The sequence below is a fragment of the Homo sapiens genome, chromosome 9, assembly GCF_000001405.40.
Source record: "Homo sapiens chromosome 9, GRCh38.p14 Primary Assembly".
Classification (NCBI taxonomy): domain Eukaryota; kingdom Metazoa; phylum Chordata; class Mammalia; order Primates; family Hominidae; genus Homo; species Homo sapiens.
Window position 1 is genome coordinate 130,823,043 of NC_000009.12, and position 22,993 is coordinate 130,846,035.

The 22,993-nt window shown below is 44.1% G+C and overlaps 1 protein-coding gene and 1 long non-coding RNA gene across 6 annotated transcripts in view, besides 11 other annotated features; one reads left to right on the forward strand and one right to left on the reverse strand.

The window, feature by feature from the left end:
- Positions 1-10,667: part of a mitotic recombination region, noted in NCBI's record as "ABL micro-breakpoint recombination sub-region recombines with the BCR-ABL micro-breakpoint cluster region, producing the e19a2 transcript", that runs on past the window's edge. NCBI's record gives the evidence for it as "EXISTENCE:nucleotide sequencing assay evidence [ECO:0000219][PMID:15843824]".
- Positions 1-22,993, forward strand: part of ABL1 (ABL proto-oncogene 1, non-receptor tyrosine kinase) — a 174,633-nt gene that overhangs the window by 110,000 nt on the left and 41,640 nt on the right. The window contains exon 1 of one of the 2 annotated variants that reach the window (NM_005157.6): positions 12,212-12,483. The exons of the other annotated variant lie outside the window; for it this stretch is intronic. Within the exon in view, the coding sequence (NP_005148.2) occupies positions 12,405-12,483 (79 nt within the window). The 5' untranslated portion in view covers positions 12,212-12,404. Of the gene's footprint in view, positions 1-12,211; positions 12,484-22,993 lie in introns of those variants that run through there. 2 annotated transcript variants of the gene reach the window in all.
- Positions 1-22,993: part of a biological region, named in NCBI's record as "ABL breakpoint recombination region", that runs on past both edges of the window. NCBI's record gives its function as "recombination_partner: LOC107963947 | LOC107963948 | LOC107963951 | LOC107963955 | LOC107966121 | LOC107966125".
- Positions 1-22,993: part of a mitotic recombination region, noted in NCBI's record as "ABL minor-breakpoint recombination sub-region recombines with the BCR-ABL minor-breakpoint cluster region, producing the e1a2 transcript", that runs on past both edges of the window. NCBI's record gives the evidence for it as "EXISTENCE:nucleotide sequencing assay evidence [ECO:0000219][PMID:20703256]".
- Positions 1-22,993: part of a mitotic recombination region, noted in NCBI's record as "ABL major-breakpoint recombination CML sub-region recombines with the BCR-ABL major-breakpoint cluster CML sub-region within the BCR-ABL major-breakpoint cluster region, producing the e13a2 and e14a2 transcripts", that runs on past both edges of the window. NCBI's record gives the evidence for it as "EXISTENCE:nucleotide sequencing assay evidence [ECO:0000219][PMID:20703256]".
- Positions 1-22,993: part of a mitotic recombination region, noted in NCBI's record as "ABL major-breakpoint cluster ALL sub-region recombines with the BCR-ABL major-breakpoint cluster ALL sub-region within the BCR-ABL major-breakpoint cluster region, producing the e13a2 and e14a2 transcripts", that runs on past both edges of the window. NCBI's record gives the evidence for it as "EXISTENCE:nucleotide sequencing assay evidence [ECO:0000219][PMID:20703256]".
- Positions 9,652-11,786, reverse strand: LOC124902287 (uncharacterized). 4 transcript variants are annotated; one of them, XR_007061821.1, is made up of 3 exons: positions 11,646-11,786; positions 11,310-11,423; positions 9,652-9,942 (listed from the first exon to the last, which is right to left on the reverse strand). It is a non-coding gene; the product is annotated as an uncharacterized LOC124902287 (long non-coding RNA). The 4 variants fall into 4 exon arrangements; XR_007061820.1 differs by having other exon boundaries at positions 9,652-11,085; XR_007061822.1 differs by having other exon boundaries at positions 9,652-11,423; positions 11,677-11,786.
- Positions 11,267-11,793: an enhancer, noted in NCBI's record as "H3K27ac hESC enhancer chr9:133709696-133710222 (GRCh37/hg19 assembly coordinates)". NCBI's record gives its function as "activates a minimal SCP1, AML or CMV promoter by ChIP-STARR-seq in primed H9 embryonic stem cells {active_cell/tissue: H9 hESC(primed)}" and the evidence as "EXISTENCE:reporter gene assay evidence [ECO:0000049][PMID:30033119]".
- Positions 11,436-11,485: an enhancer, noted in NCBI's record as "active region_29162". NCBI's record gives its function as "activates an Ori minimal core promoter by ATAC-STARR-seq in GM12878 lymphoblastoid cells {active_cell/tissue: GM12878}" and the evidence as "EXISTENCE:reporter gene assay evidence [ECO:0000049][PMID:35858748]".
- Positions 11,506-11,555: an enhancer, noted in NCBI's record as "active region_29163". NCBI's record gives its function as "activates an Ori minimal core promoter by ATAC-STARR-seq in GM12878 lymphoblastoid cells {active_cell/tissue: GM12878}" and the evidence as "EXISTENCE:reporter gene assay evidence [ECO:0000049][PMID:35858748]".
- Positions 11,794-12,319: an enhancer, noted in NCBI's record as "H3K27ac hESC enhancer chr9:133710223-133710748 (GRCh37/hg19 assembly coordinates)". NCBI's record gives its function as "activates a minimal SCP1, AML or CMV promoter by ChIP-STARR-seq in primed H9 embryonic stem cells {active_cell/tissue: H9 hESC(primed)}" and the evidence as "EXISTENCE:reporter gene assay evidence [ECO:0000049][PMID:30033119]".
- Positions 11,956-12,265: a silencer, noted in NCBI's record as "silent region_20407". NCBI's record gives its function as "represses an Ori minimal core promoter by ATAC-STARR-seq in GM12878 lymphoblastoid cells {active_cell/tissue: GM12878}" and the evidence as "EXISTENCE:reporter gene assay evidence [ECO:0000049][PMID:35858748]".
- Positions 12,736-12,785: a silencer, noted in NCBI's record as "silent region_20408". NCBI's record gives its function as "represses an Ori minimal core promoter by ATAC-STARR-seq in GM12878 lymphoblastoid cells {active_cell/tissue: GM12878}" and the evidence as "EXISTENCE:reporter gene assay evidence [ECO:0000049][PMID:35858748]".

Sequence of the window (22,993 nt, forward strand, 5' to 3'; positions counted from 1 at the left end):
ACCTCGGCCTCCCAAAGTGCTGGGATTACAGGTGTGAGCCACCGTGCCCGGCCTTCCAAGTTCTTTATCAGGTATATGATAGCACATGTAGCTTTTTATCTTCCTTACACCAGTGCAAGTTTATAGAAAGGAAAAGGGATAGTTAATAGTAATCATAATAATGTTTAATATTTGAATGTTTTTTAGGAGCTGGACACTGGGCTGCATGTTTCACGGGGATGATTTGGGTCACTCTTCAATTTTCTAAAGGTTACAGGACTGTTTCAAACACCTCTCCTTCTATTAACAGTTTTCAATGGAGAAAGAAAACAAAAGATTGATTTGGGGAATTCTTAGGTTAATGCGAGTTAGAACTGACCTTTTAACATTATTACCATAAGGACTAAATGGCTGTTACAGACCCAAAATAGGAGCAATTCAAACAAGCGAGATGCTTCTCTCTGTAACAGGCTGACAGTCGCGGTCCTGGAGGGGCACGATGGCTCCTCAGGGTCAGACACCTCCTGTCCCTTACTCTGTAAGGCACAGCTTCTACCTCAGGATCCAAAATGCCCACGCCAGCTGCCATGGCCCCTCACAGGCAGTGGACACCAGAAAGAGGAGAGGGAGTGCGTGCCTGTTGCTTTGAAGAACCTGACCCAGAAGTCTTACACAGCACTTTTGCCCACATACCATCACTTAGTCATGTGGTAGTGCCTGGCCACAAGAGAGACTGGGAAATGGAGTCTTTATTCTGGGGTGATGTGTCCCATCTGCAACTGAGGGGTTAAGGCCTAAAACTTAGGGATTGAAGGCAGGAGAAAAAACAGATGTCGAGAGCCAGTGTTGGGATTGCAGGGTCCTGTGTGGGATTCCTGTTCATTTTCATCAAAGAAAGTCTAGTTGATATGCAATTGTTGGCCTAAGTGTTATTGAGGAGTTAATTTTACTGTTGAATTACACCAGAACATTTGTCATGTGAAATAACTATAAATACGACTGATTATTGCCTAGTGTATTACAGTTCTCTCCAGAGACACAGGAAACAATAGGGTCTGTCTATCGGAATAGATATCCTAAAAGTGTATCTTTTGAAGAGATTGATTATAAGGTATTGGCTCATGAGATGATGGAGCTTAAGAAGTCCCACAGTCTGCTCTCTGCCAGATGGAGACCCAGGAAAGCTGCTGGTGTAGTTTGAAGGCCTGAGAGCTGAGGGCCAGTGATGTGGATTCCAGTCTGAAGGTCTGAGAACCCAGAGGGCTGAGGGCAGGAGAAGATCCATGTCCCAGCTCAAGCAGGCAGAGGGAGGGTAAATCCAACCTTCCTTTTTCTGTTTTTTTGTTCTAATCAGGCCCTCAACGGACTGGAGGATGCCCAGCCAAAGTGGGGAGGGCCATCTGCTTAGGCAGTTCACCAATTCAAATGCTAGTCTCTTCTAGAAACACCCTCACAGACACACCTGGAAATAATGTTTAAGATCTGGGCATCCTGGGGGTCTAGTCAAGCTGACACATACATTTAACCACCACACTTAGGGAATATGAAAATAACTTAGACATTAAATTTGATTTTGGTGTTGCTGTAAAGAATACAGATCTTAGGCACCAGCTCGTAGGAGGGGTGGTAAACAAGGAGGACAGCTTTTACCAGGTTGCCTTTGGAAGCAAAACTCTGCTTTGCTGTTTTGTTTTCAAGCGGCTGCATGGCCACTGAGCGAGCCCTTTCCTGCCATCACCACAGTGCCACTTAGTGAACAGTTTCTCCAAGGTTAACTGTAGCTGCTCTTGTTCAGTTAATATGTAGTTCTGGATTAATATGCCACATCTGTCACTTTAAGGAAGAAAAAGAGCAGTTCCGTTTAGAGATCCCATTGCTCCTCTAAGGACAGCAGTCATTTCTAACAAGCAGAGGGAAGAAATCTTCTGGTTCCATTTGTCCTTTGTGTGTGTTGAAAACCTTGACAACAAAACAAATTGGTACTGAATGGTTTGAAGAAATAAACATTAACTCCCCTTTAGTATTTCATTTCTAGGGTTTCCAGCCTTGGTAACAATTACCAAGAACTTTGCTGTCATGGGGTACAGCTCTAGGCTGCTGACAGGATCTTCATACTGGAGGAGACTATACTTTTATAGCCAATTCCAACTGCCCCAGAGATAACTTGGATAAACACTGGCTCCTCCACTACCTCCTAATCCCTGCTGGGTTTTACACTGTGGGGAGGTTTAGACAACTTGTTTTCTTTCCCTTTTAGCCCTTCTCTCTACACTCCCCTCCAGCTGCCTTCTTCCCCCACCCCCAAATGTAACGTGATCTCCTAGGCCTGCTCTGCTGCTTTTGCAGATTCTTTTAGTCTTAGAGAAAGAGAGGAAAATATTAACCATTGGTTTACCAATTCAAAGTTAACAACATTTTAAACAAAAGGAGCTTGTCAATAACCAGGGCTTGGGCTTTTCTTTTATCAGTTCCTCCTACTTGGCTGAGTTTACCTCATCATAAATCTTATCACACAGATAATAATTTGACAGCTTTAGGGTTTTTGCAGCATTGCTATTTTCTATTGCAACAAAGCTGTAACATTGCTATTTTTGATGTATTTGTTTTATAGATATCTTAATCTTCAATATTCAGATTAAAAACAAACAAGACTTAGTGATTTAAAATTATTTGGTAAAAAGGTAAAGGGACAGAGACATCTCATGAAAACATGGCAAAATCTCTTTAAGTTTAATTCAAGCACTTAGAGTTTAATAAGAATATCCCAAACCATTTTTGCTTAATAATATTTCTGTTTATAATTAAACCTTAAGGTACAGTGTTGTAACTGGATTTAAGAATTTAGAGTTTTGTTGTTTCTTCGCCATCAGCGAAATTAAGATTTAAAACCTATAGTTTGCAACAAATTTTAGTTTTTCAGCCTAGTGTCCTAAAACTTGTCTGTCATGGGTACCTAGTAGGTGTCATGTCACAGGAAAGGGATCTAACAAGGGAGTTTGAAGATAGGGGTTTTCCTTGCTCTGCCACTAACTTGCTATGTGACCTAGGGCAAGTTATATAACCTATCTGTGTCACAGTTGTCTGAAATGCAATATGGGGAAAATAAATTCTTAAAATGACAATAAAAAGATTTCTTTTTTTTTTTTGAGACAGAGTCGGCGCAATTTCGGCTCACTGCAACCTCCACCTCCTGGGTTCAGGCGATTCTCCTGTCTGAGCCTCCTGAGTAGCTGGGATTACAGGCACACACCACCACGCCCAGCAAATTTTTGTGTATTTTGTAGAGATGGGGTTTCGCCATGTTGGCCAGGCTGGTCTCAAACTCTTGAGCTCAAACGATCTACCTGCCTTGGCCTCCCAAAGTGCTGGGATTACAGGCATGAGCCACCACGCCTGGCCAAAATATATATATACATATTTTAAGTGAAGATGTGTAAGGACTAAAGGAGCCCAAAGGAGACAGTAGGGGATAAGAAAGGCAAAGAGAGTGGTAATAGATTTAGCAGAATCAAGGATGCCAAAACCTCTTCTGAGAGAGACCTTGATTAAGAGTGAGCTGGTTTGCCTGTAAGAATCTGCGGAAAGGTCAGAAATTAGAGACATTAGTACCACAGAAAGCAGGGGATGAGGCCTGAAGCTGAAATCAAGGGGATCAATTGAGAGCCTATAAAAGGAGGGTTTAGATTCTTCAAACCCCTCCCAACCCCACAGAGTCAGATGACCACCTCTCCTAACCACCTACAGGAGACCAGAGGCATTATATTGAGAAATGCCCGGCCGGGCGCGGTGGCTCACGCCTGTAATCCCAGCACTTTGGGAGGCCGAGGCGGGCGGATCACAAGGTCAGGAGATCGAGACCATCCTGGCTAATGTGGTGAAACACCATCTCTACTAAAAATACAAAAAATTAGCCGGGCGTGGTGGCGGGCGCCTGTAGTCCCAGCTACTCAGGAGGCTGAGGCAGGAGAATGGCGTGAACCCTGAAGGCGGAGCTTGCAGTGAGCCGAGATGGCGCCACTGCACTCCAGCCTGGGCAACAGAGCAAGACTCCGCCTCAGAAAAAAAAAAGAAAAGAAATGCCCCGTAGAGGCTCTGCACTCAGGAGCCTGACCCCCAGCATGGGTCCGGGTAGGCCATTGGCCGAAAATAGTGGAGTGGGCAAAGAGCAGATTTTTTAAAAGTCTGCATACTGAATAGTAAGATTCCCAGCCCTCTTCTAATACCTGCTAGCCAGGGGCCTAATAAGGAAGAGATTGAAATATTCTTTTCTAGGGGGAAAAAGTTGAATGACCCTAGAGAAAAGCCCTACAGATACCAACATTTAGGGATTCTCTTGAAAAAGCGAGTTTACCATCTCCTTTCACTGAAGCTTACCAGTGGCTGTGCCCCTTCCACGCATACAAAACTAACAGTCATCTTTTAGTTGCTCATTCATAGAGAGTGAGTGGCCTGCCAAATCTCTCTAGGCATTAGAGGAAGGTCTCTAACCTGATATTAATAGATAAAGGGTAAAACAAATAGCAGAAAACAGGAACTTGGTGGAAATAAAGACAATGCAGTCAACAGAGGAAGAGTTTAAAAGAACTATTCAGCTTGGGCACCATGACTCACGCCTGTAATCCCAACACTTTGGGAGGCTGAGGTGGACAGTTCACCTGCGGTCAGGAGTTTGAGACCAGCTTGGCCAACATAGTGAAACCCCATCTCCACTAAAAATACAAAAATTAACTGAACATGGTGGCAGGCACCTGTAATCCCAGCTATTGGGAGGCTGAGGCAGGAGAATTGCTTGAACCTGGGAGGCATAGCTTGCAGTGAGCCAAGATTGCACCACCGCATTCCAGCCTGGGTGACAGAGTGAGACTCTGTCTCAAAAATAATAAATAAATAAATAAATAAATAAATAAATAAATAAAGCTATGCATTTCCCACAAATACTGCTTAAAAAAAAAAGAACTATTCTTTGCTATCCTTGGAGAGAGAGATTGCAAATGTCAGAAAACAGGATGCTTTTAAAAACAATAACAATCAGAATAAGAATAAAAATGAATTATTTTTCTTTTATTTATTTATTTATTTATTTTTGATACATGGTCTCTGTCACCCAGGCTGGAGTGCAGTGGCAAGATCACAGCTCACTGCAGCCCCAACCTGCCTCAGCCCCCCAAGCAACTGGGACTACAGGCACGCACCACCACACCTGGCTAATTTTTAAATTTTTTGTAGAGAGATGGGGTCTCACTATGTTGCCCAGGCTGGTCTTGAACTCCTGGGCTCAAGTGATCCTCCTGCCTCAGCCTCCCCCCAAAGGGCTGGGATTATAGGCATGAGCCACCACACCCAGCAAGAATGAATTGTTTAATATTAAAAACATTATAGCCCAAATTTAAAATCCAACAGAAGATGTGGAAAATTGTCTCAGAATGTATTGGGTTGGTACAAAAGTAATTGGGGCTTTTGCCATTTTAATGACAAAAACGTTGATTACTTTTACACCAACCTAATAGAACATAAAGACAAAGACATGGACTGTTGAGAGAACAATAAGAGAGAACAGGTAAGAAAATTAGAAACTCTCGGGAGGCTGAGACAGGATAATCGCTTGAACCCAGGAGGCAGAAGTTGTAGTGAGCCGAGACTGTGCCATTGCACTCCTGCCTGGGCAAGCAACAAGAGTGAAACTGCGTCTCAAAAAAAAAGAAAAGAAAATTAGAAACTCAATCCCAGGGCTTTAATATCCTTTTTGTAGGAATTCCAGAAAGAAAACAAAAAAATAATGATAATAACGAAGAAACAAATGGAGGAGAAGTTAGGAGACGTTAAATGTAAGGAAAAATTTCAGAGTTTAGTGAAGTGAGTATTTTCCAAAACAGAATTATATAAATCTCTGGATTTATGAGTGCCCAGAATAATATATGAAAGGCCATATCATTGTGAAAGTTCAGAACACCAAGAATATTAGAAGATCCTAAAAGTTTCCAAAGAGAAAAAAAGCAAGTCATTTTAAGGGGTCAGGAACCAGAATGGGATTGCATCTCTAAACAATACTTACTGGAAACTAGATAGTAGCAGATAAATAAATGCCTTCAAAGTTCATTTGGGAAAATTATTTTCAACCTAGAATTCTATACCCAGACAAACTGTCAAGATAGAAGAAAGGTATTTTTTTAGACATGCACCCTCCCTCCCCACCTCTGTGAAGCTACTGGATGATGAATTCCAGCAAAATGAAGAAGTCAGTCAATAAGTAGAACTGAGCCCGGGCACGGTGGCTCACACCTGTAATCGCAGCACTTTGGGAGGCCGAGGCGGGCAGATCACGAGGTCAGGAGATTGAGACCATCCTGGTGTAACACAGTGAAACCCCGTCTCTACTAAAAATACAAAAAAATTAGCAGGGCGTGGTGGCGGTCCCCTGTAGTCCGAGCTACTCGGGAGGCTGAGGCAGGAGAATGGCGTGGTGAACCCGGGAGGCGGAGCTTGCAGTGGGCGGAGATCGCGCCACTGCACTCCCGCCTGGGTGACAGAGCGAGACTACGTCTCAAAAAAAAAAAAAAAAAAAAAGTACAACTGAGAATATTTGAAATGTTTTAGTGATTGGAAAAAATATCACTAGATGTTTGACAGATCTTTGAAGTATTTGAGGGAAAATGGTGATAGGTATATAGAAGACTAAATGAAAACAAGGCAATATCTCTAGGATAAACAAAGATGTATAATAAAGGAAACATTCATAGTATATTATTGGCTAAGCAGTGAAGAATATTTATATCATCCTAATAATGTAAACACTAACTATTGATTTATCCCCCAAATTGTGATTTTATTGTTTTGGGGGGTTATGGATGGTGATAGTATAATACTGCTGTCATAAGTTAATAGATAATGGATAAATCTAATGAATTCAGAAAGAGCAAGATGATGTTACTAGCTAAAAATCTGAAGGAGGCTGTCTCTGCGGAAACATACAGGGGAAAGGGATTGCTGTTTTTTATTACCAGATTTTTACAAGACTATTTTTAGCCTTTTTTACAAGACTTTTAGTACTGCTTGAGTTTTAACCATGTTATGTATATTACTTTGATTAAAAAGAAAAATTAATTTAAAAAAATGAGCATACTAATACCATTAATTTTCTCCTTCTAGAGAAAAATGTTTAACAGTTAGGTTTAGACTTGTTAATTATAAAAATATAGTAGTCTTACTGTAATGAGATTTTCTAGAAAGCGGATTTACTCTAAGGCAGTTCAGATTTGGTCCCCAGCTGAGAATTATAGCCTGGAAATACCAACAGAAAAATCAGTGTCATTTGAAGGACAGTCATCTGTGCAGCCTGTGCATGAAATCATGGGTCTGAATTAGGCCCCCATTCAAGATGCGGGGGTGTGGGGTTTGTGTTTTGCTGAAGCTGTGGTTGCAAATCTTTGCTTTAGGATGAAAGGTGGGGCTCTCTGTTACATTTGAACCTTAGTTGCTACTCCTACCTCACAGCTAGTGTTTCTTTCTCTTCATAAAATAAATTGATTTCCTGGTCCCTTGGAAAACCTCCAGACTGCTTTCTGGAATCATTTTCATATAGCATGTTTGTTAATTTGAGCTCTTGACTGAGTCCCAGTGAGATGTAGGCAGGAACACAGACCTGATACAGAAATAGTCCTCTTTTGGAAATAACAATAGCTACTGTTTATCGAGCACCTTCTGTGCTTTGGGCACTCTCCCTACATGATTCCTAATCTTCATAATAACCCTGTGAGATAACTACTCTTATGACTACCTCCCATTTTTCAGATGAGAAAATTGAGGCTCTGAGAGGTGAAGTCGTTGCCCATGGCCCCACAGTGAGTGGCAGATCTGAGACTCAGCGCTAGCCTTTGTGACACATAACTCGTGACCAGCAGGTAGTGCTACCCGATTGAAAAAATGTGAGACTTAAAGGGATGCATGTGTCCCTATACAGTGGCAAAAACTGGTATGACAGAAGTGATGTTTTAAGCTATGTTATCCTTTAGTTGGACATACACTGGACCCACAGAGCTAGAGTACCTGGCAGGCTCTTGCTGGACAATGTTTGCTGAATCAGAGAAAGTGGGCTTTGTTGGCATTTGCATGTGAAATACTGTGCACATACCTCAAGATCTTTGCTGTTCCCCCCCTAAAGCTACTAGCTATGCTGGAAACAGTGAAGGGGTCAGCCAGACCTGGGGTCACCTTGTCCTGGGGTCCCAAGCCAGGCCTCCTGTCAGGTTCATCTGTCTCTGTTCCACCTGCACTCACACCCAGTCTTGCTGCTGAGAGATGGAGCATCCACATCCTGAATCCTGCCTCCTTCCCTTGACACACTTCTATGGTGGGTGCCTGCCCAACTTTTTCTTAATAGGACTAAATTCCAAATTAAAAAAAAAATTCAGTCTCTCTCCTCTAATCATCCAAGAAGAGTCCTCTTTTGGTAACTTGTTCTAGAACTATGCCTATCTTAAATTCAGAAATTGCTTTCAAATGAATTAAATTTTAGAAATATCCATTCCTGTTCGTCCTATTCCCAGTGAAAATAAGCAACTCTTCCCTCTTCCAAAACAGTGGATTTCTTTTCTTTTTTTCTTTTTTTGAAATGTAGTCTTGCTCTGCTGCCCAGGCTGGAGTGCAGTGGTGCAATCTTGGCACACTGCAACCTCCACCTCCCAGGTTCAAGCGATTCTCCTGCCTCAGCCTCTCGAGTAGCTGGGATTACAGGTGTGTACCACCATGCCTGGCTAATTTTTGTATTTTTAGTAGAGACAGGATTTCCCCATGTTGGCCAGGCTGGTCTTTAACTCCTGACCTCAGGTGATCGCCCACCTTAGCCTCCCAAAGTGCTGGGATTACAGGCGTGAGCTACTGTGTCTGGCCCCCAAACAGTGGATTTCCATCTTACATATGCATACAGATCATCTGGGAGCTTCAGATCCAGCCCATTACACATATTCTGATTCTAGACTAGAAACCAAGACTCCGCATTTTAAGCAAGCCCCACATTATTCAAAATAGATTGTCCATGGATTATGCTTTTAGAAACATTGTTCAGATCCCATGCTTTAATGTTGGGGAGTTTATCCTTTCCTTCTAAATATTTTTTTTTTTTTTGAGATGGAGTCTCGCTCTGTTGCCCAGGCTGGAGTGTGGTGGTGCGATCACTGCTCACTGCATCCTCCACCTCCCAGGTTCAAGCAATTCTCTGCCTCAGCCTCCCGAGTAGCTGGGATTACAGATGCCCGCTACCACGCCCAGCTAATTTTTTTGTACTTTTAGTAGAGATGGGGTTTCACCATCTCAAAAAAAAAAAAAATCTTAAATAGCTCTAGTTCCCTGAATTATTTTCTCCTAAGACATGTTTTCCCAACAGTTAATGTTACTTATTTCATCTTCTGATCTTACTCATATTATCCACCTTTCACTTAAATTGGAAATTTTCTGCCATTTTACAAAGTTCAAGACTTTCCTACCTTCCTACCTCCTGGCTGTGTGAACTTGGACAGAATACTTCCCCCTCTCCCTCCAGTCAGTTTTCTTACTTGTGAAATGGAATTAAACTATACAAAATCATTAGGTTACTGTGAGGCTTAAGAGTGCCTGGCACATATTACATGCACATTAAAAATGTATTTCTTCCCAAACTAATGCAACATAGCAAACAAGTTAGTTCACAGTCTTTAATTTCTTTCCTTTTCCCTTTCTTTTTAGCTAATAGCTTTTGGGTCTTAGGCTGATTAGAAGGAATCCTTCTTGGGGTGTTCTTCTGGTAAGAAGATTGAAGCTCTCCTTTATTTGCTTGTAACAGAATGCTCTTCGTATCTTTCAAAAGCGTCAAAAGCTGGATATGGAAAGTATAGGCCAGGTTTGATACAGAAGTGTAGTTTGGCAGTTTTTTCAGTATCCATTGCCACTAATTCAGTATTTTGTTAGATCTGTTGATGTATGGTTTTATAACTAAAATTAAAAAGATTTGGGTACAGTTTATAAGCATTATTCATTTTAAGAGGATTTAAGAGGATAAGATCATTTTAGACTCAAGAGCAGAATATTAGTAATAATAATTAGCTTAAAAAAATAAACATATACCAATATAAAGAACAGCACAAGGCAAGCAAATATCTGGGCCTATATTAACAGACGGTATTCAAGGATATGGCTAGAATTTCCAAAATGCCTAATAATGTGTAATTCTTGGCATTAAGCCGCCAATTTGAATATGGCCCTTTAATATGAAATGCTATATAATGACAGACTTTATTATAGTCTGATCCAAGGCCCCTGAACTTTCCAAAAGGGCAACAAAACAGACAGATACTGTATTTTTTCACTAGTTGGTACTGGTGGCACCCTTTTGAGTGTTATTTTTGGCATTACGTGTAGAGGTTGACAGATTCAAGACAACACTAAACATGTTAGCAGTCACCACACGCAGGCTGTCCAGCAGAATGACAGCGCTTCCCAGATCCTAGAAAGCATCCAGAGTCACTGCACCCATCCCCTGGGGGCCCTGTAGTCCTGCATCTCCAGATGATGGGAGCTGCAAACTTCCCTGATGGTGCCCTCTTGGATGCTCATGAGGCCTGATCTGGTACCACGACTCTAGCAGTAGGTCCATTCAATGGCAGTAAAAATACATGTTGTATGTTGATCAGAATTTGGCAGGACACATGTGGAAAGTTAATGACATCCTGGCCGAGAACCCCTGTGATATACACTGGTTACATCCTGTCCAACTGGAGTTTTTATGTGCTGTTTTTGGCAGAGCCAAGTGAAGATCTTGTTACTTAGCCATTCCTGAGGTACTGAAGATACCCGGGTTTTTGTCATTACAGGATAGGCTAGAAAGTAGCCAGGGTCTCATAACCAAGGCTTTCTCTGAAACATATAATGACAATGCTAGTTATTTGACCAAAGATATCCAATGCTTTAATCCACTTGGAATTTATTCTTGATGTGAAGGGTCAGCATCATCCACTGGTCGGGAGCCTGATCCTTGGAGCCAGGCAGACCTGGGTTGAGTCCATCTCCGCCTGTTTCCAGCTGTGGGCAAGGTGTCTGACTTCTCTGAGCATCTGTGGGGTTTGTTTGTTTTTAAACCTGAAGAATTGGGATAATCTGTTTCCTCACAGAATCATTACGCAGATGCAATACAGTTAATGAAGGTAACATGGCACATAGGAAGAGCACAATACACGTCAGCTCTTACTCTTCATGGCTAGAAGATGTGGACTAAACTTCCCCCTTTACAGTTTTGTGATTAACACCATTTATGAAAGAAATAAATGAAATAAATTCCTTTTCCTGTCATGAGGGGAACTTACCTGATTTTATTGAATTATTTGGTGCCATTGAGTTCCTTATTGTTTCCCTCTGACCTAGATTTCTGGGTGTGCGCCAGTAACACGACTGTGATTGTTGCTGCTTTATAACATTGTCTGTGGTCAGTCCAAACAAGAGTTTAAAATAATTGAATGAAATGGATTTTAAACAATGGTCCCCCCACCCTCACCCCGTGGCACTCGGCCAAAGGAAGAGGAAAAGTTCTCTGTTAAAGAAAATGAATCAGAGAAGAGGCCCAGACCGTGCCTCCGAAAATTCTCATTGTAGGGACTAAGTCCTCTCACTCTGAACTCACACCCGTCTGTTCGCAGCCTGACCTCATATCCTGGTCTGGATGTGCGGCCTCACCGGGGTGTCGTGCGCACGTGTGGTTGTCCTGTGGGTGCCAGCTCTGACTTCCTCCCCAGACACCCACTGCCTCAGCCTTAATCACAGGACGCGCGTTGAGTAGAAATGAGACCAGTTAGTATTGGTAACTGCAGAGGAATATGCATTTTCACCAGCGTTCTCGGGTCAGAGGGTTTGCCTGGCACCGCGTACTGGGAAACTCGCCAAAAGCGGTGCAGGTTGGAGACGCCCCAGGCCGCGGTGGAGTTGCGCGCGGCTTCTAAAGTGGAGTGGAGCAGGCCTGCACCCTCCCCGCCGGGGCTGGGACGGCGCTTCCAGGCGGAGAAAGACCTCCGCGGGCCGCGCGCGGCCTTCCCCCTGCGAGGATCGCCATTGGCCCGGGTTGGCTTTGGAAAGCGGCGGTGGCTTTGGGCCGGGCTCGGCCTCGGGAACGCCAGGGGCCCCTGGGTGCGGACGGGCGCGGCCAGGAGGGGGTTAAGGCGCAGGCGGCGGCGGGGCGGGGGCGGGCCTGGCGGGCGCCCTCTCCGGGCCCTTTGTTAACAGGCGCGTCCCGGCCAGGCGGAGACGCGGCCGCGGCCATGGGCGGGCGCGGGCGCGCGGGGCGGCGGTGAGGGCGGCTGGCGGGGCCGGGGGCGCCGGGGGGGCGCGCGGGCCGAGCCGGGCCTGAGCCGGGCCCGCGGACCGAGCTGGGAGAGGGGTTCCGGCCCCCGACGTGCTGGCGCGGGAAAATGTTGGAGATCTGCCTGAAGCTGGTGGGCTGCAAATCCAAGAAGGGGCTGTCCTCGTCCTCCAGCTGTTATCTGGAAGGTAAGCCCGGGCCGCACGGGTTGGGCTGAGTAGCCGCGCGCCCTCCCGCTGCTGCTGGGCCCTTCCTAGGCCTCGCCGCCCGCGCGCTCCCGCCTGCGCCCTCCCCGGGTCTTGTCTTTTTTTTCTTTCTTCCCTCTTCTCTTCTCTTCTCTTCAGTTCTCTTATATTCTGTCTCTCTTTCTTTCTCTCTGTGTCTGTCTCTTTTCTCTTCTCTTGTCTCTCTCTTTTTCTCTCTCTCTGTCTCTTTCTCTTTCTCGCGATGGCCCCTAGGCGCCGCCGGCGGAGCGTGGCCCCCAGCCCCGGCACCAGCCCCGGTAGAGCCACGCCGGATGGTGACGGCGGCGTCCGGGGCCCCACAGTGCGGGCTCCCCCGAAAAAGTTTGAGAAAGCCAACTCGCCAGGCCTTAACATCCCTGGGATCCCACGTTGTGGAATTTCCACCGTTAATTGGGACTGTGTGTTAAAAAGATCGACCCGTGTTTGTGAAAACATGCGATTTCCATTAAGCATCATGTACACAAGGAGCACCACTCTACCATTTATGGATACAGAATTTCAAGTGATCTTTCCATCTCCCCCACCCCCATCTTATCTACAGACCACGAAGAGGTCTTAGGAATTCGCTCTCTTTTCAGGGGAGGGGAGCCCATTTAAGAAGGCGTTTCCAAGGAGTCCCCCAGAGTACTGGGGTGTCATGTTCGTTTCCTTAAGTGAAGCTCAGGGCCAGGAGGGCTTCACTTTTGCGTTCTTTCTACCTACTCTCCTTCTCTAATTACATCTGTTTTATTTTATTTTTCTTTCCTGTTGTAGTCTTTAGTTTTATAAATGGAAAAAAAGTAAATTAAGGGTTATGGGTCTTCACTTTCGTAGCTTCTAGGTGGGTATGAAATTGATCTGATTTGAGACTGGTGCTCCCAGACCATTGCCTTCAGCAGAAAGGCTATCTGTGCTTCAGAGATGGAGTGGCACTTGGACTTCTCTGTTGTTTTCAACTAAGAATATAAGAGTAAAAATGTGGCCGGGCGCGGTGGCTCAAGCCTGTAATCCCAACACTTTGGGAGGCCGAGACGGGTGGATTATTTGAGGTCAGGATTTCGAGACCAGCCTGGCCAACATGGTGAAACCCTATTTCTACTAAAAATACAAAAAATTAGCCGGGCGTGGTGGTACACGCCTGTAATCCCAGCTACTCGGGAGGCTGAGGCAGGAGAATTGCTTGAACCCGGCAGGGGGAGGTTGCAGTGAGCCAAGATCGCGCCACTGCACTCCAGCCTGGGCGACACAGCAAGACTCGGTCTCAAAAAAAAAAAAAAAAAAAAAAGAGTAGAAAGAAATGTGAAGCTCACTTTAGATCAAGTAGGATTTCTGCTAGAATGCCATGTTTTTCTTTTTAAAAAAGCAGGAGAAATAAACAGGCCTCATTTATTTTCTAACCTATTTTTCTTTCCTTAACCTCTGACTCTACCCTGAAGGCCTGCTTGGAGTCACATATGCAGATCGCACTAGTGATGTGGGTGAAACCTGTTTGCCCTTCTTGCCACAGTTTGTGTACCTCACTCCTCTTCTGTCTCTGGGATTCCAGGGGGCTGAATGGCCCAGAGAAGGCTCATCTAGGTGGAGTGGGCTCACAGAGCCTAGCATTTGGAGGGTGGAGATTGTTTATTTGTCCCTAAAAGTTGATGTCTGAGCATTCCAAATCATCTTCAATTAATACATCGCTTATTTTTTCCAAGTTGCTCAAAATTCTGAGCACATTCTCATTTACATCTGTATCGAGTTAGTGTTAGGCATCATCATCTCCACTTTGCAGATGGGTGCCTAAGGCGGGGATGAATGGACTTTTGTAAGTGCAGAGCTGGAGCAAAGTTTAGGTCACAGCTTTGCCAAGTCATTGTTTTGTTTTCCTGGGAGTAAACCGGAGATTTAGTATGGACCTGGCTGGTTTAATTATTGTTTTGGGAAAAAAATCTAAAACTCATTCCAACATGTCTTGAAATGAATTATAATGTTGACTCTAAAGTCTCAAAAAAAAAAAAAAGTTCTAGTACAGCAGACTGCCTTGGGTTAAACCTTCTTCTAGGAAGGTGTCACTCTAGGAATTCTTTCTTACTGAGTTTTCTTCTTTTCGTTGTTATAGTTAATTAGAGAAAGTAAATGGAATTATCATTTTGTAGTTGGTAGACTTTAACAAGCCTCAGCGATAGTCTTTTAAAGACTGGAAGTGCTATTTGTCTTTTGGGAAAAATAGTTCCTAACATCTGGATGAGTAATCCAGGCTTTCCACTTTCACTGACAGCCTAAATCAGTCAATCAGTGTCGATCAGTCAGTCAGTGTTTATTGACGCCCACTCAGGGTCCCAGGCATTCCCTGTCAGGGAGAGAATTGAATGAGATCAAGTTTTTCATTGTTCTATCAAAGAAGCTTCCACCATAAATGTGGTTTGATGGTGCATGCTACCTGCTACTCAGCCTAGCTGTCAAAGCAACACTGGTAAACATAAAGATGGCTAGCAATTATTAAATGCTTACTATGTGCCAAATACTGTTTTATTACTCTATGTGATCTGATATAGTTATATTTCATGATAGCACTATGATTATTTCCATTTTATAGATGAGGAAACTGAGTCACCAAAAGGTTAGGTAACTTGTCTAGGGTCACAGAGCCAGTGAGTGGGGGTACTGGAATTTGAACTCATGCTATCTGGCTTGGGAGAGCCCACTTTTAGCCACTGGATGCTCTACTGATGTCTCTTTTGGAATTCACTGTGATTTTCAAAATGGTATCTCCAGAAACTCCTCCAATTAATCCCTGAAATGTAAGGGTAGTCTCTTTTTCTTTTCTAGAAACCTGATCCTGGCAAAATGATTAGCTTTAACAGTAGGATTAATTTTTTTTAAATGTATATAAAAATACTTGTATGTAAGAAATCCTAAAAGGGTATTTAGTGAAAAGTAATTCCCTCTCCTATTCATTTTCCCCACCTAGAGGCAATCACCCTGGAGTTTTATGTGTGTCCTTCTAGAAATACTGTGTGCACATATAAGCATTTATTATAACATGTGAATTTTGCTCTCCAGCTTTTTGTGAATATGCATGTTTATAGCAGTATCTATTCACCAGGACCGCATTTAGCTTTGCAATATTCGGTCTACTTTGAACACTGAATTTTCTGATTATTTCTTTCCCCTGGAGACGTCAAAGAAAACATGAACACTAGCCTTTTGAATTCAGGGTTTTCTTTTCATTTTATTTTCATTTGTTCATGTGTTTGTATTTACATACATTGTGCCTGAATATTGTACATGTATGTGACAGTTGTGTACTGTAGAATCAAAAACTAATGTCTGTGAACTGAACTCTTCTTGAACTTTTTGTTGTTGTTGTTATTGTTGCTTTTGGAGATAGGGTCTTGCTCTGTCACCCAGGCTGGACTGCAGTGGCACAATCACAGCTCACTGCAGCCTTGAGCTCCTGGTCTCAAGCAACCCTCCCACCTCAGCCTCCCAAGTAGCTGGGGCTGCAGGCATATGCTACCTGACTAATTAAAATTTTTTTTTTTTTTTTGTAGAGACAGGGTCTCACTATTTTTACTAGTTTGCCCGGGCCAAGCCAGTGTTGAACTACTGGCCTCAAGTGATCCTCCCACCTTGGCCTCCCCAAAGTGCATCCCTACAGGCATGAGCCACTGCACTCAGCCTGAACTTTCGAAATTTATTTTAAGGGCCCACTTTTAAATGCTTCTTTTCAGCAGCTAACTTTCCAGCGGATGCTTCATGTGGTGCCAGCCATACAGATACGCTTTTAGAACTTGAGCTTTGGAGAAGCTTATGCTTGCTTTCTGCTCTCTCCTGAGGTCATCAGATACTTCCCTTGTTCAGTAACAAAGAAAGTGAGACTCTTTCTGTTACCTAATAAAAGGCCAGTCTGTCCATTTCATTTTGGGTGCTATTAACATTGTTGACCATTTACAATGTCACAGGCCCTGGCACTGAGCACATCATGTGCAGCCTCACTTAATTTTCACACCAGTGCCCTGAGGTTTCTAGAAAAGAGGAAGGGCCCCAGTTTAGGTGGCAGTACTTTTCAATTTGGAGGCAGGAGATCCCAGTTTTCCTCTGACCTCTCTGAGCTTCCGTGTTTTTACCTCTAAGACAGAGAGACCAATCTCTGTTCAGCCACCTTAGAGGATTGTTTTGAGGGTCTATAAGATGATTGAGGGAAAGCTCTGAAACTGGTAAGAGTTAAATGTATGTTTGTGTTATGTTGATACGAGATTCCTCTGAGATGCTCTTTAGTCCAGGCAGGTTTATGGCTCACACAGCGTTCCTAGGGTCTCATTCTTCTGCACAGGCAGGCAGCTCCCGAGCCAGCCAGTCTGGACCCAAATGCCACCTGTGCTCTTGGCTGGTCTTGCGCATTCACCGAGGCTCACTGTACCTTGGTGTTCCCATTTCTAAAATAAGGCCTGTAGTAATCCCTACCTCACTGAGTTGTTGAGAGACTTCATGTAAATTGTTTAGCAGGGAGCCTGGCACAGAACAAGAGCCTAGCAGAAAAGTAAGCTGTTGTTACTTTAAGCAAATATTTAGCAGCCTAAAATGGTGGCTTTACCAGTTTCTGTAATGGTTGAAGTGATGACAGAATTCAGCCAATCCCACCCATAGTTTTTCTTGCTAATAAAGCAGTTTGTTTCTAAGTGTGTTTTGATGCGTATAATTAATACTTCCTGTCCTTGATTTTTGGCTGAAAAATGTCTTCTCTTCCTCGCACCCTCTGTTATTCCCGTAGTGAATATTTTCATTGTGGAAGAGAAATTCCCATTGGCTCATGGTTGGCATTTTATTTCTCCTGTCCAGAGACAATATTTCCACAGCCTCAAACGTGAAAACTGAAAATCTGGTGCCACTTACCACCTTGTAAAATCAAGTCATTGTAATTGTGCCAGTATAATCATTGATCTGAAATAAAAGCAGAAAATAAATCAATGGGTAGCTTTCTTAAATACATAAGAACTAAAGATCAAATGGGATATTGGAAGACTTTAACTTTTCCTCCATAATGGTGGATCTTAATTAAACACACAGAAGAACAATTTATAAAATAAATTCATAGGTTTGTTTGTTCTTTTTTAGTGTCAATTTTTAAAACTATCTCTTTTTTAATTAAAAAAAATAGAGATGGGTCTCACTATGTCGCCCAGGCTGGTCTCAAACTCCTGGGCTCAAGCAATCCTCCCACCTCAGCCTCCCAAAGTGCTGGGATTACAGGCATGAGCCACTGCACCCAGCCTAAAACTGTCTCAAAAGTAGACAGCATAATGAACTCCCATGTACTTATGATGTGGCTTTAACAATTATCAGCTTATAGTCAGTCTTGTTTTCTTACATAATAAAGTTACAGTTTCAAAGCCATTAGGAAGAATAGCTTGCTAATTATAATTACTTAGTTTTGATAGTGTAACTTTGTCCTCAGATGGGTAGAATCGTTACTCTGGAACAGGGGTGTCCAATCTTGGCTTCCCTGGGCCACATTGGGAGAAAAATTGTCTTGGGCCACACGTAAAACATACTAACGATAGCTGATGAGCTAAACCAACAAAACAAATCCCACAAAAATCTCATTTCTTTTTTTTTTTGAGACAAGAGTCTCACTCTGTCGCCCAGACTGGAGTGCAGTTGCACGATCTCAGCTCACTGCAAGCTCCGCCTCCTGGGTTCACGCCATTCTCCTGCCTCAGCCTCCCTAGTAGAGGGTACTACAGGCGCCCGGGGGTTTCACCATGTTAGCCAGGATGGTCTCCATCTCCTGACCTCGTGATCCGCCCACCTCGGCCTCCCAAAGCCCTGGGATTACAGGCGTGAGCCACTGCACCGGGCCAAAAATCTTATAATGTTTTTAAGAAAGTTTGCAAATTTGTTAGGCCACATTCAAAGCCGTCCTGGGCCATATGCAGCCCGTGGGCCATGGGTTGAACAAGCTTGCTCTAGAAATTGGTTTTCAGGCCGGGCGCGGTGGCTGACGCCTGTAATCCCAGCACTTTGGGAGGCCGAGGCAGGTGGTCACCTGAGGTCAGGAGTTCGAGACCAGCCTGGCCAACATGCTGAAACCCTGTCTCTACTAAAAATATAAAAAATTAGCCAGGCGTAGTGGGGAGTGCCTGTAATCCCAGCTACTCAGGAGGCTAAGGCAGGAGAATTACTTGAACCTGGGAGGCAGAGGTTGCAGTGAGCCGCGATCTCACCATTGTACTCCAGCCTGGGCAACGAGCAAAAACTCCAGCTCAAAAAAAAAAGTTGGTTTTCAAATCCTTCTTTCTTTACCATGTTACACCATAAATATTTTTGTTATATTGCGTGTGTTGAGTACTGGTGATAGGGAAGACAGAGAGAAATAGGTGGGAAGGAGATAGAGAGAGAGAGAGGGAGGGAGGAAGGGGAGACATAAGGGGGAAATCTATAGAGACAGAGACTGAGAGACAAATACAAAAAGGTTGAGACAGGAAAGGGAAAAAAAAACAAGCTGGGAGGGAAGGAAGACTGAGAGAAGGGAGACAAAGAGGAATAGGATGGCCAGTGGGGCTGGGGTGGGTGGGTACAGAGAGAGAATGAGTGAGAGCAAGAGAAGCGCAGGAGACAGATGATGGACAGGCAGCTGATGTATGGATGGGTAGCTGGAGAGAGAGGCCATCAGTAACTTCACATCTCTCTGTTTCCATTTCCTGCCCTCAAATGCCTTCATAATAGAGTCTACGTAATAAGGTTATAGGGATTCAGTGCAGATGAAGTGCTGGCACTTGATACGGGATCAGTAAGTATTAGCTATTATTCTATCACATTAAGTTGCATAAACTTTAACCTCATTACTCTTAAATTCTCTATAGAAACCTAGTCTTTATCTGTCTTACAAGCCCTCAAATTTAGCTAATAGCGTTGTTCATTGAATACCTTAAAATTGTATTTAAAGACAGGCCGTGAATACAATTAGGCATTGCTTTTTGAAGCCAAAATACCATGAGGGTGGGGAGGGTCATGTTCATTTACCCAGATCAGCAATAAAAATACTAATGGCTAACAAGGCTTTCTGGGGAAATTGCCTGTCATTGGGTAGCCCAGTGCCTCTGGTGTCAGCTGACCCCGGAGTCCATGAAGACATGTTAAAAGAAGAGGAAATGTGAATGCTTTCAAACCAGCCATGGCTGGCAGCAGAAGGGGAGGCCTTTCAGTCTGTTGCAAATGGCCTGTGACAATAAAAATGCCTTTGTGGGTATTAGCAGGCTGACTGTGGACAGTCTGGATCTGCGGCCACTGCAGGGATTCCTGGAACCTGTTGGGAAGGTGTCCGGCGAGCTCACTGTGGTGTCTGTTAGGAATCTGGAGCAAATCCTATTTCTTTTGAAAGCACAGAGAACTGTGTTTTTACATTATACCTTTAGGATTTTGGCCATGGTTTATATTTCAGTCAAAACAAATCATTATGTTCCCTAGGCTTTTATATAGGTTTTCCTGGTCAGGTTGCATTTGTTTTTCAACTTTACTATCTGTCATTATTGCTGCTCTTATTACAGGTTAACAGATTATTAAACTGCACTTTTCAGTACCTTGTAGCTAAAGACAGACAAGTGCAGGGTGTTCCACATCTGAGTTCACCCAGCAGTGCTGTGTTGTTGCGTTGCACTGAGCAGGCACAGAAGGCTCTGAGATATGAGAGACTTGGTCTCTACCCCAGAGGAGTTTACATTGTTGTGGTGGCAGAAGAGAAGGCGTGGCATAAGAGAAGACGCGGTTGTTCTGTAGTGAGCATCCCAGTGTCAGGTGCCACAGTTGGCATCCATGCAGAAATTCTCTGCATGCAGGATTCATTGAGCCCTCCCGACAGCCCAACTAGGTTGATGCCATGCCGTTGTTGCCCTGTTGTGCAGTTGAGAAACTGAGGCTCAGAAACAAATGTCTTCAAGACATGCTGGTGCTGAGGTTTGAACAAGGCCTGTCCACCCAGAGCCCATGCTTTTTGTACTGCTGGGGACATGTGAACAGATTGCTTACTGGGTGATAGATGCAGGGTGGTGATAGAGACAGACACCAGGTACCCAAATGGGTTAAAGGAGAAGCATCCTGTTGTGGGCGAGGTGATGGGGAGGAGGAAGGACCGGTTAGAGAAGGTTTATGGGAGATGGGGAGGCCAGGAAGAGCAGAAGAGGCTGGGGAACGAACTCTAGGGAGAGTAAATGGCACTTGTCACAGTGCAGTCAGGAGAGGCAAGCAACAGGAGGCCTGGGGGATCTGAAAGGAGTTTGGAGAGGCTGGAATGGAAAGCAGGAGTAGAGGGCCAGATGCTCCCAGTCTCAACCCTGAAGAGCCTGGCATGCCTGCTTCAGGAGCTCAGACTTTTACTATAGTGGTGGAAGGAATAACAACCCCAGCCATTTTTTGAGGGCCTGTGCATGCCTAGGCCCTCAAAAACATGTCCCATGTTAGCTGCAAACTGCCAGCTACCCTGCAAAGCACATCATGATCCCAGCATTGCCCCCGATGACACTGCCAGTAAGTGGTAGCTGACCATTGGGAGACAGGGCCACCTCCCAAGCCCATGCTCTCTTCTGCCTCTCGGCTGGCAGCCATCTCTAAGGGATTTGAAGCAAGAGAGTGACCTGGTCAGGTCTGCATTTGAGAAAGATGGCCCTGATAGTAGGGAGTGGAGGTGGAATGGCCAAAGGGGGACCCAGCCAAGGGCGTGGTAGAGCATGGAAAGGACAGAAGTGATGAGAGATTGAGGAGGAAAAGTGCCAAGATGCAGGGTGGGAACTGACAGAGGATGACTTCCAGCCTCAGTCCTGATATGGGCGTCAATGGCAGGTGTTCAGAATGGCCTTGAAGATAGTGGCATCTCTATTTATGAGTGTCTTTGTACTCCATTTCCAGTAATTGGAGACTTTTTCACCGTAGATTCTTGGAAGGTGACACAATTTTTTTTTTTTCCTTTTTGGTTGAGGGAGGGGGACAGGGACTGTGTATCTTCAGAAAGGTTAATATTTGAGGCCAAGGCAGGCAGATCACTTGAGGTCAGGAGTTCAAGACCAGCCTGGCCAACATGGTGAAACCCCGTCTTTACTAAAGATATAAAAATTAGCTGGGCATGGTGGTAGGCGCCTGTAATCCTAGCTACTCAGGAGGTTGAGGCAGGAGACTCACTTGAACCCGGGAGGCGGAGGTTGAAGTGAGCCAAGATCGCGCCACCGCACTCCAGCCTGAATGACAAGAGTGAAACTCGGTTTCCCCACCAAACAAAAAAAGAAATACCTAGTTTCTACCAGAGACAGTCACAGGCACTGTACTTCTACTCTGGTTTGTTACCTGTGTTCTTAAAAAAATTAAATGCTACATTTTAGTAAGAGGTTAGTGAAATAAAATTTTAATTTTTCCCATCAGAGGACATGGAGCCCTTGAATTCTATCCCAGACTCCCAGGGTCTTCCAGGTTAACAAGTCCTGCACTAAGGAATTGGCTCAGTAAAACCTCAGCATTCTCACAGGAAGAGCCTAAAAAGGAGACTGGGATAAATTAGTGAGAGGTCCAAATTATGCAATTTTCTTTTAAAATAAATGCAGTTTTATTACTTTCCACTTGTAGCCATTATAGGCAGTAGATTAAATGAGTTTCTAGAGAAACCTCCTTTAAAAATAAAGTTATTTAATTAGTCCAAGGTTTAAATATTTCCCCTGGAATCTTTTACATGACAATGTCTTAGCCAGACAATTTTTAAGAAACAAAATTCTCCATCCTAACTCCTATCCCCATCAACAGTCCAAATCTTAACCTTTCTTTTTTTTTTTTTAGACAGAGTCGAGCTCTGTTGCCCAGGCTGGAGCGTGGTGATGCAATCTTGGCTCACTGCAACCTCCACCTTCCGGGTTCAAGCGAAACCCCTGCCTCAGCCTCCCGAGTAGCTGGGACTGCAGATGTGCACCACCACGCCCAGCTAATTGTTGTATTTTTAGTAGAGACGTGGTTTAGTAGAGACGACCTCCCAAAGTGCTGGGATTACAGGAGTGAGCCACCACACCTGGCCAGAAACCAGGTGTTTGATATCAGGTGACGGTTGTGATCATTGTTCGCACCACTACTTTGAAATGACATAGTTGCCACTGGACCTTGTTATTTAATGTGCGAATAAAGAGACAGTTATTTAAGGCATTAATAAGAGCTATATTACAAGTTTTTAAAAGTCTTTTGAGGACTGTTTCAAAAAGTCTTTTGAGGACTGTTCTCCTTTGCAATCCTCTGTAAATGCACCATTGCATTCCAACCCGGGCAACAAGAGCAAAACTCTATCTAAAAAAAAAAAAATTCATCCACAGGACAGCGCTGGCCTTCCGTTAGACTTTTGCTGTTGAGTCTGTAAGTTTTCAGCAGCTGTGTTTCTCCAAGGAGCGGGGCTACTGCTGGTTCTTTACGTCTTTCCCCCACTGCCCTGCCCCTCCCTGCACCCTAGCAGCTGACACAGTGTTTT